General features: G+C 52.0%; 1 protein-coding gene across 5 annotated transcripts in view, besides 1 other annotated feature; it reads left to right on the forward strand.

Moving 5' to 3' along the window:
• Positions 509-15,240, forward strand: part of CREB3L1 (cAMP responsive element binding protein 3 like 1) — a 43,748-nt gene continuing 29,016 nt past the window's right edge. For all 5 annotated transcript variants that reach the window (NR_189153.1, NM_052854.4, NM_001425266.1 and 2 more), the window contains exon 1: positions 509-1,060. Coding sequence is in view for 4 of the 5 variants with exons in the window: in NM_052854.4 (NP_443086.1) it covers positions 959-1,060 (102 nt within the window). In the remaining variant the exon portion in view is untranslated. The remainder of the gene's footprint in view (positions 1,061-15,240) is intronic.
• Positions 13,991-14,694: an enhancer, noted in NCBI's record as "H3K27ac-H3K4me1 hESC enhancer chr11:46312695-46313398 (GRCh37/hg19 assembly coordinates)". NCBI's record gives its function as "activates a minimal SCP1, AML or CMV promoter by ChIP-STARR-seq in primed H9 embryonic stem cells {active_cell/tissue: H9 hESC(primed)}" and the evidence as "EXISTENCE:reporter gene assay evidence [ECO:0000049][PMID:30033119]".

The following is a 15,240-nucleotide window of genomic DNA, read 5'->3' on the forward strand; positions in this document are numbered from 1 at the left end:
CTGGGAGGCGGAGGTTGCAGTGAGCCGAGAACACACCATTGCACCCCAGCCCGGGCAAAAAGAGCGAAACTCCGTGTCAAAAAAATAGTAATAATAATAAATAAAATTTTTAAAAAGCTGAAAATCTCCCCCGTTGAGGGGAGATCTGTTGAGGGGACTGTGAAATGGAATTCCCTGACTGGGTTTCGTGCAGGCTTTAGTATAAGGCTGGAAGGATGGAAATAGCTCCCTCATCAATTTACGGGACAGTGGTTGGTGAAGCCTTAAAATGCCAATGTTCCAGGAACACTGTTATCGGTTCCAGGACTATTGTTGCTTTAAGCCCCCACCTTGAGCATTCAGAGAAGAGAGATTACTAAGACGAAGTTGCAGATGTCTCTTTAAAAAAGGAGAGAGGATTCCTCGAGCCACGCCCTCTTCTCATTAATATTAAATTATTGTGAATATTGATGTGGGGGCGTGGCGCCTTGGCCAGCTGGGCTAGCCAGCCAGGGGTTCCCGGTTTCACAGAGAGGAAAGTGACAGAAGACGTGCGGAGGGAGACGCAGAGACAGAGGAGAGGCCGGCAGCCACCCAGTCTCGGGGGAGCACTTAGCTCCCCCGCCCCGGCTCCCACCCTGTCCGGGGGGCTCCTGAAGCCCTCAGCCCCAACCCCGGGCTCCCCATGGAAGCCAGCTGTGCCCCAGGAGGAGCAGGAGGAGGTGGAGTCGGCTGAATGCCCACGGTGCGCCCGGGGCCCCTGAGCCCATCCCGCTCCTAGCCGCTGCCCTAAGGCCCCCGCGCGCCCCGCGCCCCCCACCCGGGGCCGCGCCGCCTCCGTCCGCCCCTCCCCCGGGGCTTCGCCCCGGACCTGCCCCCCGCCCGTTTGCCAGCGCTCAGGCAGGAGCTCTGGACTGGGCGCGCCGCCGCCCTGGAGTGAGGGAAGCCCAGTGGAAGGGGGTCCCGGGAGCCGGCTGCGATGGACGCCGTCTTGGAACCCTTCCCGGCCGACAGGCTGTTCCCCGGATCCAGCTTCCTGGACTTGGGGGATCTGAACGAGTCGGACTTCCTCAACAATGCGGTAAGATGAAGGGTCTCCGTTCCCGTTCCACCCCTCGGCACCCGTCCTCGCGGCGCGCCTGGGCCCCTAGAAGGACCCGACTACACATCACTGGGCAGGAGCCGGGGAGAGGGTTCAGCGCAGGGTCTCCAGGAGCGACATGTGTTTGGAGCTAAGCGCCCCTCCTGGGGGCTCAATCTTTGAATACACTGGCCTCCACCTTCTAGGGGGAAGGGGCCATCGAGGTATCGGGTCCGTCCGATCCTCGGATCTGAGCTCAAGAGACACCAATCCCGCCCTCCACCCACGTCTTCTAGCCGTCCCCAACCCACCCCAGGTTCCAGGACCAGACTGGGCGCAAAGTGGCAGCGCCCTTTCCTGCGCCTCCCTTGGGGCTTCGGTGGCTCATAGGCTGGATCTCCGCTGGGGGGCGCACCGGGGAACGTTCAGAGGGCCTGAGACCCGACCCCTCGGGGAAGCCAGGCCCAGAAATTTCAGGGTGCTACCCTGGCAGCCCCAGGGAATCAGGCCCAGAGACCCCCCACCCCAGGGAGGGACCTGAGGCTGGGGGCTGGGAAGAGGCGGTCAGGGCAACATAGGGTGATGGCTCAGGAGGAGGGAGCCATTTCTCTCCATCTGCCTCTAGATCTCTGCTCTGTCCCTCTGTTCCTGGAGTCTGGCTGACTTTCTCCCTCTCCCTATGTCTTCTTGACTAGGTCCGACTGTGAGCTTGTCTTTCTCCTCTTTCTCACTCTTCCCCTCCCTCCCTAAGGAAACGTGGCTTCTCTCTCTTCTTCCCTCCCTCCCTCTCTCAGGCTCAGCCCTAAGGCCTTGATGGGGGAGGGGCACGGACTTAGAATGGGAGAAAATATTTGGGTTCAGAAGGGCCTGCCCAGATGAAATGTGGATTGTTTGGGGAGTCTAGTGGGAGCCCCCTCTTCAGTGAACCACCAGTTGCGTGTGCATGCCTGTTCACACGCCACACACACACACACACCCTGTGATCAAGCACTTGAGACTCTTTACCTGCTGACCTCTACCTCCCAGGACCAAGATAAACTTGGCCAGGCAAGAGTCAAGTCCTTAGAGGACTTGAGCATCTTGGACTTCCACCTAAACTGTCCCAGGCCACTAGATTGATGGTGAGGAACCAGGCCAAGGGACAGGAGCCGGAGTCAAGGAGGCATGGGGGCTGAGGTCTCCCTGTTCTCCATTAAGCAGCACATCCTGGTCACCCTGCGCTCTGAGGAAGGCCCCTGTCCCAGGCAGAGAGAGCATAATTCAGCAGACAAGACAAGGGTATAAGGGCAGAGGGCTTGCATTGACTGCAGCGAGACTTGGTTTCTAGTCCTGGCTCTGCTTCCCCTGTGAGCTTGGCCCCTACCACTGGCTCTCCTCCCTGAGCCTCAGTTTCTTTGTCTGTAAAATGGGGGAGAGGTTGGATCAGGTCTTCCTATAGATGGTTCTGGCACAGATCCCAGGAATAAAGCAGCAGGGATCGGGGGATCCACACCTCCTCTTGAAGCTGGTAAAAGACACTAGTCAGAGGGAAAGAGGTTTGTCAGAGCTCGGACCCTTGAAGTCAAGCAGGGCAGTAGAGCCCTGCAGTAAGCTTCTCTCGGCCCTTGGCAGCTCTGAGTTGGGCTTTCTTCTGAATGAACTCGGCCGCCCGAAGCCTCTTCCTGCTGCTCCATTCAGCCCTGCATCCCCAGCTGCTTATCTGGGCCTTGGTCCAGCACAGGAAAAGAGGCACGACCAGACAGTGGGATCCAGCACTAGGACACTGGGGAGGAAAAGCCCTGCTGGGGAGGCTCCTGATCTCGCACCTGGGGCAGCGCCAGGAGAGGCAGCGGGAGAAGATGGGGTGCCTAAGGAAAGAGAGAAAGGACTCTTGGGCTGGGAATCAGGAGATTTAATTCTGTCTCTGTTTCTGCCACCAGCCAGCGGGACAATTCAGAAAAGTGACTTTTCTTTTCTTGTTTTTTTTTTTGTTTTTTGTTTTTTGTTTTTTTTCAGACGGAGTCTTGCTCTGTCGCCCAGGCTGGAGTGCAGTGGCGCGATCTCGGCTCACTGCAAGCTCCGCCTCCCGGGTTCACGCCATTCTCCTGTCTCAGCGTCCCGAGTAGCTGGGACTACAGGCACCCGCCACCACGCCCGGCTAATTTTTTTTTATATTTTTAGTAGAGACGGGGTTTCACCGTGTTAGCCAGGATGGTCTTGATCTCCTGACCTCGTGATCCACCCACCTCGGCCTCCCAAAGTGCTGGGATTACAGGCTTGAGCCACTGCGCCCGGCCAAAAGTGACTTTTCTTCTTCTGGGCTTTGACTTCCTCATCTGAAAAATGGGAATATTAGAACTATAGCATTACTGTAAGCATTTCGAGAGAAAATTAAAGTGAAGGTTATGTAGCACAATGCCTGGCATGTAACGTTCATCGTTGGCTTGATCCATAGAGACTGGATGGGCGTGATAGTGAGAATTGCTCAGCTACGAGTTGCTGTGTGAACATAGCAAGTCACTTTCCTTCTCTGGGGTCTCCATCTCCATATCCGAGGTTCTTTCCAGCTGAGATCCCATTCCAACCCTTCCCCCAACTTCTTCATTCTGCATGAGGATAGGAAAATGTTTCCAGGGTTAAGGATGGGTAGGGATGGCGTCTGTGTGCCTCTCAGTCTGGAAAATGGAGAGCAGAATATTCGCTATCCTCCTTAAAAATCCAGATACGGGCCATAAATCATGTGGAAATCATGTGTGCTCTGTTGCTCTGTGCAAAATGCAAAATGTATGCTCACCCTGAAAACAACTATGCAAGAAATACGCATGCACTTGGACAGACAGGAGAGTGAGTACACAAAGTCAAGACAAGTGTGTTTGGAGGTGGCTGGGCTGCCTTATTTTTCTTTCTATGAGGATACCTTCATGTTGCTGCAATTCTGTTTATGCGATTCTCAGAGATCCTCAGAAGGGGGCTGCCCTTCCTGTCCCATGTGGGGGCATCTCCTCCCTGCCCCTCCCGCTCTCCCATGGTTTCTGATGTGGCCACCCTTGAGCCACTGTACTCTGTGGTCCTTCAGCCCCTTGGCCAGTATGAGAGAGAGGGTCTGGGCTCCAAGAACTGGGATAAAGGACCAGAGGGAGAGCAGGTCGTTTCTCCAGATGGAAACACTAGGTCTGTGTGCTGTCCCCTCCTTCCTCTGGCTAAGGGGAAGGGATGTCTGGCTTCTCTAGAGGGAACTGGCTTGGGATCCCAGAGAAGCCCCAGCTGGGAGGGTGTGGGGAGGAGAAGGAGGAGGAAGAAAAGGTCTGTTTTCTCAGAGGGGAGCAGCAGGAAGCTGCAAGGATGTTTGCCCAGCACACCCGTTTACTCCCTGCAGCTGGGGAGGCCAGGTGTGGGAGTGACGGGGACCCAGGGACCAGCCCAGCATTGCGGGGAGGCGGTGGGGGCTAAGGCTGATCGCTACTCCCCACACGCCTAGCCTGGCTTCTCCTGAGCTAACTGGGAAGCAGAGAGGCACCCCCACCCCCAGCCTTCGGGAGATTTAGGGAGATTAGAGAAGTATGTGTGTTTGGGTGTTCCTATGTCTGTGGGTGGGCCTTTAACAGTCCTTAAAAGGGGAGATTTGTGTGTGTTTCTGTTTAAGTTCTCACCAACAGGAAAGAGGACAGAAGTGCTAAGGCACTCTGGTCTCAGAGTGCAATCTGCTAGAAAAGATCTAATGAAAAACCTACTGGAGGAGCCCAAATCTCAGGGTGCCTATTCAGAAAGGAGACCTCTGATACCTACTCTATCAAAACATTAAGTTCGTTTTGAGCAGAGGTTTGATTTGGGTTTTGCTTCCCCCAGTGTTGAGGGAACAGTTCCTTGAGTCAGGGGCTTGGTCTGTCTTGTTCACTGCTGTATCCCAGTGCCTAACAACCGTTGATGAATGAATAAATCGATGGATGGATGAATGAATGGATGGATGGATGAAGAAAAAGGGGCCCAAACCAGACCCCACATTCTTAGAGAAGAGGGAAAAGTGTCCTTAAGCCCATCTATTTGCAGCCATCGAGGTCCTGCAGACCCTGCACTGTCTCTGGGGTCCAGGAAGGGCTCTCCATGGTTTTTAATGAGTTCTCATTACCTTGAGCCATCCCCCTACTGCACAGGCCTCTGCAGCCCCTGGTCTAGAATAGTCTACAGCTGGCTGACCCACAGGGGATTTGAACTTGTGGCTCAGGTGTCACTCTTGAGCACTGTCTCTAGGGCTTCCGTTTTCCCCAGTTTCTTCTTCAGATTGCTCTAGGACTCCTGGATCCATACTCACCCAATTTAAGACTAAGCCTTTTCCAGCCCTGCCTCAGAGCCCTTGCACATGCTGTTCCTGTCATCTGGACTGCTTTTCCCCCAGTCTGTCCATCTCAGCCTTCTGATCCCAGCTCAAATATTGCCTCCTTAGGGAACGCTCCCTGACTACCTAAAGTGGGACCCCCCTGTTCTTTTCTGTTTTAGTCTTTTGATATCTTCTAGCCCTTAACCCAGTTTGCAATTATTTTAATGGCCTATTGTCTATTTCCTCCACGAGAAAGTAAGTTCCATAAGAGGAGAGTCCATATCAGTTTTGTGCATTGACATAAACCTAGCACAGTCACATGGGACAAAATAGATGCTCAATGTAGTAAAATTCTACAATAATGCAATAAATATGCCCAGTCAAAAATTTCCAATTATGTTCCTTTGCGGTGACTCATGCTTGTAATCTCAATGCTTTGGGAGACCAAGGTAGGAGGATTGCTTGAGCCCAGGAGTTCAAGACCAGTCTGGGCAACATAGGGAGACCTCGTCTCTACAAAAAATAAAAAAAAAATGAGCCGGGCATGGTGGCATATGCCTGTGGTCCCAGCCACTTAGGAGGCTGAGGAGGGAGGATCACTTGGGCTGGGGAGGTTGGGACTGCAGTGAGCCATAATGGCATCACTGCACTCCAGCCTGGGCAACAAAGCCAGACCCTGTCTCTAAAAGTAATAATAATAATACAAATTTAAAAATAAATTTTCCAATTACATAAAATGTGGAGTAATATTTTTGTAGAATTAACGAAAAACAGTATTTTTCAGATGGTCTGTACTATCACAAAAAGCAGGAAAGTAAAAATTGTGACACCTTACTGCACAAAGCAGACCAAACAGAAAGAGTACCACAGGAGCATGAGGCAGTCACTTTTTTTTACCAGCCCCATAGAGAATGGAGTTTTGCTCACTTTTATTTGAGAAGGGGCCTGAGCATAGAACAGAAGTCAAGTTTGGGTCACATTGTAGTGAACTTTGCTCTATTTCAAGGACTTACTATATTTGTAGAGAAAATTACTTTAGACTGGGGCAATCCTTGTAAGGGAAGGGAAAAATTGTTTTAAAAAAATCCCAGGCTGGATGTGGTGGCTCACACCTGTAATTCCAGTACTTTGGGAGGCGGAGGCAGGGGGATCACTTGAGGCCAAGAGTTTGAGACCAGCCTGGGCAACACAGAAAGACTCCGTCTCTACAAAAAATAAAAAATAAATTATCCAGGCATGGTGGCACATACCTGAAGTCCTGGCTGCTTAGGAGACTGATGTGGGATGATCACTTGAGCCCAGGAGTTCAAGGCTGCAGTGAGCTATTATCACGCCACTGCACTCCAGCCTGGGCAACAGAGCAAGACCCAAAAAATCAGATCTAAGTGTTCAAGAGGTGTACTTATGATTCCTGAAGGGATCCTGGGGTTTTCAGGATCCTGGACTGGCCATCCCTTAGGGTGGTGGGGATGCTGGGTCCCACAGAAGTGCTGTCTGTGCCCCGATATGTTGTGAGGTCCCTCCGGCTTCCCTGGACCAGCTGGGAATTCACTTGCTCATTCATTAATACACATGTCCATTCCTTCAGCAACTGGGCACTGAAGGAACATCTATGCTGGTGCCAGGGTAACCCAGATGAAGAAAACACACTTGACCCTCCAGTCAATCGCGGACGAATGAGAGAGACAGAGAGGGAAATAGGCAGTATCAACACCATGGTGGGCGCCATGATGGAGCAGAGCATGGCAGGAGGCTGAGCCAGGCTACAGGTCATGAAAGCTTTCTCAGAAGGTGATCTCTGCACATGCTGCCCCAATTTCCCTCTTCCTTAGTGGCAAAGGAGTTATTAGAAGGCTTTTCTGGCCAGGCATGGTAGCTCATGCCCATAATACCAACACTTTGGGAGGCTGAGGCAGGTGGATCACCTGAGTTCAGGAGTTTGAGACCAGCCTGACCAACATGGTGAAACCCCATCTCTACTAAAAATACCAAAAAAATTAGCCAGGCATGGTGGCATGTGCCTGTAATCCCAGCTACTTGGGAGGCTGAGCCAGGAGAATCGCTTGAACCCAGGAGGTGGAGATTGCAGTGAGCCAAGATCGCACCATTGCACTCCAGTCTGGGCAACAAGGGCAAAACTCCATCTCCAAAAAAAAAAAAAAAGGCATTTCCACAGGGACTGGGGCCATGTTCCTTTTACTGAACACGTATAGGCATTATTATCCATTGTGCACTCTGCTCAAGGGCAGGAGTCCTATGGAGAGTCAAAGAGGGGAGCAAGAAGAAGCTACAAGCAAGTTCTCTCATTGTTCTAGTTTGAGATTTCCCCTCTAGAGCAAGGAAAATTCAGGATCTTTCATATCACAGGGTCCCTGTCTTCATCCTCACCCACTCCCATCCTTAGGGCACCTTGGATGCCTAGAGCTTTATGGGCAAAACCAGATCCCCTGAATAAGCTCCCACATCCCATTTCACACCCTATCAGATTCACCCCCAGGATGCTGTTCCCCAGCCCTTCTGGGGACTTGGATCTTTGCTCTCTGCAGCTCCCAGGACTCCTCAGGAGACTCTGTTTCTGTCTGCCCTGGCCTGGCCTGGCTACTGCACCAGGAGAGGGGAGCATAAAGGACATCCCTGTTTTGTGTCTTCTCCCTGTATCATGTGCCTCGTGCGAGTCCTGGTACCGAGGCCCTCCTGGAGCATCTCTCTCTGGAACCTGGCTTGCCCTTGAACCTCCCTCAAGAAACCAGCTCCAGATGCTGGAGAACAGGCTGTTTCTCTGGAAGTCTCAGCACTCCTGGGGGCAGGATGGAGGAGGAATATTTGGGTGGAGTTAAGTCAAGACTGTGAGCTGGAACTCTGTGTAACCCTCTTGAGCAGCCCTGGGGAAGCCAGACTGAATGGCAGGACCCTGGACCAGGATTGGGGAATGTGTGGGGGTGGGATTGTCTGGTTCAGGAGAAGCTGGGAGAGGCAGGAAATGCCCCAGGACTCTGACCCTCAGAGGAAATATGTCAAAGGTATTGATTTCTTTGGAATGTCAAAGATCTTGATCCCCACCACCTAGACACACCATATTGTCTACAAGGCCAGTTTGATAGCTGGAGCAACCATGGGCTTCCCTGCCGCCGGGTTCAGTGTGCCTCCTCCCCTAATTCCCCTGGGACAGAGCCTTCACTGCCGCTTCCTTGGCCGTTGGCTCGTGGCTCGTGGCCCAGAAGCCACTTCACCCATCACAGAGAGTTTGACACATCTGGGCTGGGATGTGCGGTCCGACATAACAGCTGGACAGCAGCAGCCACTGGCTCCTCCTCCCCTTCCAAAAGAATAACAAAAATGAAAGTAGCGATGGAGTGAGGCAGGCTCTTCAGGCCTTCATGGAGAGCCAGGAGGCGGGTTTCAGGCAGTGATTGACAGGGGCTCGCTTTGGAGGCAGACAGGTCTGAGCCTTTGCCCATGGGTTCCCCTCCACCTGGAATACCCTCACCCTTCTTTACCTCATTTCCCTCACTTGCTGTGTGACCCTGGGCAAATCACTTTCCCTTTCTGGGCCTTGGCCTCCTCATTTCTGAACTAAACTGAGGGCTCCTTGAGAGCAGGGTGTGTCAGTCAATTATTTGCGGCTATTCCCTAGGTACAGCTATAATGACTGAGTGCTCAGGAAATGTTTATTTATTGGATGGATGGAAGGAAGGCAGGATGGAGTAGGGTGGGGACGATAGAGGAATGAATAGGTGGGTGGATAGATAGTAAAAGAAAGGACACTTCTACACTTCCAGCTTTGATGGCCCTCTTTTTTAAAGTAGATTGCTTCATTCGTTCACTCATTTGATTACTCAAATCGTGAATGTTAGCATAAATGCCATCTCTCCCTTTCACTTTATCATCATGGCCTTTTCTATTATGATATCTTGTGCACTGGTAGAATATATAGACTGTATATCTATCAGTTATAAAGTATAATAAAATTAATACATGGAAACTTACCCAGCTTAAGAATCAGACTCAGGGCCGGGCATGGTGGCTCATGCCTGTAATCCCAGCACTTTGGGAGGCTGAGGCGGGTCAGTAGTTTGAGACCAGCCTGGCCAACATGGTGAAACCCCGTCTCTACTAAAAATACAAAAATTAGCCAGGCGTGGTGGCGGGAGCCTGTAATCCCAGCTACTCAGGAGGCTGAGGCAGGAGAACTGCTTGAACCCAGGAGGCGGAGGTTGCAGTGAGCCGAGATTGAACCACTGCACTCCAGCCTGGGCAACAGAACAAGACTCTGTCTCAAAAAACAAACAGACAAACAAAAAGAAAAAAGAAAAAGAAAGAAAGAAGAAAGAAAAAGAAAAGAAAACACACTCGGTTCTGAATATCTTGGTCTCTCAAAGCTGCATGAGTTTGGGACAGAGGTGAGCTGTAGACCCTGAATCCACCCCACTCTGGGGAGATTTTAAACAGGAAAGTCCCAAGACTTCCCAGGTGCGTACTCCCAGGCTCAACGTGTGCAGACAGTGGGTCCACAGGTCAGATGGCAGATGATGAGGCAAGTGCTGGGGAAGTGATCCTTGCCTGAGGCGGGACGTCTTCAGCACTGCTTAGACCTGGGGCCTCCCACTTGTCACCTGTGTGAGCTTGGGCAGGTGCTTTAACCTCTCCAAGCTTATTTTCCTCATCCAAAAGTAGGGTTCATGGTAAAACATAGGGTTCTTAAGAGAATTCCATTAGAAATTCTTGCAGAGGGCCTGGTACACCATAAACCCTCTATAAACAATAGTTGCCACTGCTGTTTTTATTGTTTTGGTTTTTAAATTTTTTTTTGAGACAGGGTCTCACTCTGTTGCCCAGGCTGGAGTGTAGTGGCACAAACACAGTTCACTGCAGCCTCAACCTCCCGGACTCAAGTGATCCTCTCACCTCAAACCCCTGAGTAGCTAGGACTACAGGGACATACCACCATGTCTGGCTAATTTTTTGTATTTTTTGTAAAGATGTTTTTTTTGCCATGTTGCCCAGGCTGGTCTTGAACTCCTGAGCTCAAGCGATCCTCCCTCCTTGGCTCCCAAAGTGCTAAGATTACAGGCATAAGTCACCACACCTGGACAATTTTTAATTTTTGTGGGTACATAGTAGGTTAGATATTTATGGGGCACATGAGATATTTTGGTACAGGCATGTAATACATAATAATCACATGATGGGACAGGTGCGGTGGTTCACGCCTGTAATCCTAGCACTTTGGGAGGCCGAGGCGGGTGGATCACAAGGTCAGGAGTTTGAGAACAGCCTGACCAACATGGTGAAACCACATCTCTACTAAAAATACAAAAATTAGCCGGGCGTGTTGGTGTGCACCTGTAATCCCAGCTACTCAGGAGGCTGAGACAGAAGAATTGCTTGAACCCAGGAGGCGGAGGTTGCAGTAAGCCGAGATCATGCCACTAAACTCCAGCCTGAGCAACAGACTGAGATTCTGTCTCAAAAAAAAAAAATCACGTCATGGAGAATGGGGTATCCATCCCCTCGGGCATTTATCCTTTGTGTTACAAACAATCCAATTACACTCTTTTTTTTATTTTATTTATTTATTTATTCATTTATTTTTGAGATGGAGTCTCGCTCTGTTGCCCAGGCTGGAATGCAATGGCGCGACCTCCACTCACTGCAGCCTCCGCCTCCCAGGTTCAAGCAATTCTCTGCCTCAGTCTCCCGAGTAGCTGGGATTACAGGCATGCGCCATGACACCTGGCTGATTTTTGTATTTTTAGCAGAGATGGGGTTTTGTTATGTTGGCCAGGCTGGTCTCAAACTCCTGGCCTCAAGTGATCCGCCCGCCTCAGTCTCCCAAAGTGCTGGGATTATAGGCGTGAGCCACCGCACACGGCCCTCTTAGTTATTTTAAAATTAAGTTATAATTGACTGTGGTCCCCCTTGCTGTTTTTATTTTGATTGTTGCTGTCATTGCTTAAAAGGAAGGCCCATGGCATTTGACAGCCCTCGCAGGAATATCCCACCTTGTCCAGCCCTGCAGAGCCCTGATCACGGGGATTTTATTTTTCTGTCTCAACTCTCTGGAGATGGAAGGCTCTTTCCTTTGGGTAAAGCCAAAAAGCCCCAGGCCACTTCTCAGGGCTCTTTCTGGGCAGCAGGAGAGGGATGGCCAGGAAAGGAGCAAAACCGGATCCCCAGGATGAACCCAGTGTGTGGAGTGGGGGCCCATATTTTGTATCTGGCCCTGGACTAGGTGCTGCAATGGGGCAGCAGGATCATTCTTTCAGCAACCAGTGTTGTTGTGGGTGCTTAAGAGCGTGGGTTCTGCAATCAGAGCTTGGGTTCAAATCCCCGCTTGACCACTTGCTAACTGAATGAACCTGGGCAAGCTGCTTAACTACTCTGAGCCTCAGCGTCTCATCCATAAAGTGAGGGTACTAAGAGGACCCACTTTATCCTTTGAAGCTTAAATGAGATACTACATGCAGGAAGTTAGAGCAGTGCCTGGTACATAAATATTCGCTGTTATTATATTATGATCATTACCATTAGGCAGAGTATATGCTGGGCCCTGTTTGAGGCTCTGCAGAGGGTTCAAGGATGAAATCCGGCCAGGCGCGGTGGCTCACGCCTGTAATCCCAGCACTTTGGGAGGCTGAGGCAGGCGGATCACTTGAGGTCAGGAGTTCAAGACCAACCTGGACAACACAGTGAAACCCCGTCTCTACCAAAAAATACAAAAATTAGCCAGACATGGTGGTCCATTCCTGTAGTCCCAGCTACTTGAGAGGCTGAGGCAGGAGAATCACTTGAACCCAGGAGGCAGAGGTTGCAGTGACCCAAGATGGTACCACTGCACTCCAGCCTGGGCAACAGAGTGAGACCCCATCTCCAAAACAAAAAAGATGAAACCTGTCCTTGATCTACCCGAAAGAAGGGTAACGTTTAGAAGGACAGCTGGATCCCATTGTGTGTAATTAGAGTTCAGGGCATGACATTAACCAATGACCTAACAGTCTGTAAGTGCTGTGGTAGAACAGAGAGGGAGATTACTCTTCAAGCTTGGTGATCAGGGAAGGCTTCTTGGAGGAAGCAGCATTTGAGTTGGCCCCTTAAAGGATAGGAAGAGTTAGAATGAGGAGATAAAGGACAAAACACTGCAGGCACCAGGAGAGGTATAAGCAAAGGTCCTACAGCCATGGGGACCACAGCAGGTTTAAGGAGCTGGGAATGGTCCATCCAACTAGCCTGGAGAGGAGAGAAAATGAGGGGGCTCCAGCTCTAGTGGTAAGTTGGGATCAGTTTCTGACAGTCCTTGAGTATCATGCTGAGGAGCTGGGAGTTTTTCAGCAGGCAGGAGGGAGCCAACGATAGTTCTGGGTTGCACCAGGTGATGGTCACCAGCTCCTCTGAAGGGTCTCAGTGCTAGGAGGCCTGCGGTCCATCAGGCGGATCTCAGCTGTCAGCCTGTCTGGGTGATCAGGGACTCTCCCCCAGGGGGAACAGAGTTGTGGGACCTCCCTGAGCCCAGGACAGCAGCTGACTCCAGGTCCCTTCTCTCCTCTGATTTCTACTATTCAGTGCCCTGATGTGACTCTCGCACTGGGCCAGGAGTACCAGTTCCCTTCTGGCTCCTTCACCCCCAGCACTGAGAGCTAGGCTGGCCTGGGGAGGCCCAAGGCAACTCCGCCCTTGCAAAGGGACAGGCTGTTCCTCTTTGGGGCTGGGAGCTCCAGCCTGAACCATGTCCTGGCTCCTGGCCCAACACCAGGACCCTAACAAGATTCCCCCATCTCCTCCAATACTTCAGGACCCTCTACTATCAGACAAAGCATGTCTCTATGAACCCCAGGGGCCTAGGAGGGTCTGAACCCTCCTCCTGAGCCCAGCCCAGCCTGGCACACCAGCTCCTTGACCCTCTTACCCATTGGCTGGGACAAGATGCCCAGAGCCCCACTCACCATCCTTCCAGCCCTGCCCTCTGCCGCCCCAAGGCCTTCACCCCTTTCTCTCCAGGGCTGCAAATCACTTCCACATTTGGGATCTGGCATGCACTATCTGCTTGGAACTCTCTCCTCCCAGTTAGCTCCCATCTCCTTCCACCCCACAAGTTCAGCCCCTGGGGTCTGCAGGAGGGGAAGGGCTCCTGCCTCTGACAATCCCTTCAGAGGACTAACAGGGAGCCTGACTGTGGCACGGTGCCAGAGGGACAGTGTACAGGAGGCCTCCCAGGGAGAGATGAAAGAGGAGGAGCCAAGGGGGTGGGCGGAGGCAGAGCTTGAGCAAGCAAGGGGATGAGGGGTTGGGGGTGGGGAGGCAAGGAAGGTGGTAGTTCCCAGCTCAGCACATTCCTGAGACATCTGGATGCACTGGAAGGGCCCCAGCTGGCCTGCATAACTGTGGCTCTAGCTTCTCTGCTCTGTGATGTCAGGACCCAGCACTCCCCGCTCCCCTCAGAGTCCCACTGGCCTGGGGGCCACTTGGGGCTGAGTACTGGGGTCTCTTCCCCAGACCCCTGACCCTCAGTGAGCAAGAAAGAGGCCCCTGGGGCAATGGAGGAAATGCTTGCCACAGAGGTGGGCCAGGGTATGATGGCAGGAGGGAGGCACTGAAGACCCAGTGGTTTGCCCATCCGACTGACTCAAGGAAAATGTGCCTTTGGGCTGGTGCCAGTCCTTCTCTTCTCCTTGGAAGGGAGATAGAGACAAATGAATGACTCTGGAAACGGCTGCTTACCTTGGGCTGTGTGACCCCAGGCAAGTGCACTCCCATCCCCAGCTCTCGGTTTTCTTCATCTGTAATAATAACAGCTACATTTAATGAGAGCCTTCCTCCTATATGTCCTGCATTATATAAAGCACTTCGCAATTGTTGTCTCATTTAATCCTCACAGCAACCTGGTGGGGTGGATATGAACGTTCCCATTTTATACTCAGGACTGAGGCTTAGAGAGGTTAAGTAACTTGTCCAAAGCCTGCACAGTGTATAGCAGAACCAGGATTAGAACCAGGTCCGTCTGACTCCCTTGCTTATAACCATTGAACTGCTTTGCCTCTTCACGTAAGAGGGGGTGGACCTAATGATGCCAAAATTCCTTTCAGTTCGAAAATTGTAATGATTTCTTTTGGCCGTTGCAGGGCTCTTCAAGAAGGGCAAGGGCAAGCATTAGTCACCTACTGGGTGGGGGAAGGAAGGCAGAGACAGCTGGCTTTGAAGCATCGGGTGGGTCAAGAGTCTTTGGAGGTCCCCTCCCTTGGAGGCCCAGAGAGCTCCAGACCCCAGGGATTGGAGTCAATAGCCTAATCCCCAGCTGAGCCCAGGGGTCCCACACCTTCCCTGAAAGAAGGGAGTAAATAAGGAGAGAGAATACCACTCCTTCCAAAAATAAAACCTGAGGACAACTCAGGCCAGGACCGCTGAGGATGTCAGAGGCTGAATGCTGAGTACACTGAGGAGAGGGGAGAGGCCAAGGGAATTCCAGCCAGAGTGAGGCGGTAGGCTCCAGGCGAGGAGGGCCTTCCAGCTGGCCAGGGGCCGAGAGAGCAGCCCTGGCGGGTTGGCCACTGTGTTCTGTTTATACCCTTAGGCCTGACAGGGTCTGGGGGGACAGCAATTCCAGCACTGAGTGGAGTCTGTGCTTCCCAGGTACCTGGTCTGCTGGGGCTTAAGAACAGAAAGGCTTAGGGAAGGAAGAACAACCCGGAGAATGGGTACAGCGGCCCCACTAGGGAGGAGCCGAGGGAAGGGGTCCAAACACATGGAAACTCTGCCTGGAGCAGAAGCAAGCTGGCATCAGAGCAAGATTCGGGACGGTCATTCCTGGAGGCTCTCTGCTACAGAAAAAAGGGCCTGACTCCATAAGCTCTCTGACACACTCCTTTATTCACACACTCATCCAGTCAGTCAG

Source organism: Homo sapiens, chromosome 11, assembly GCF_000001405.40.
Source record: "Homo sapiens chromosome 11, GRCh38.p14 Primary Assembly".
Lineage (NCBI taxonomy): Eukaryota > Metazoa > Chordata > Mammalia > Primates > Hominidae > Homo > Homo sapiens.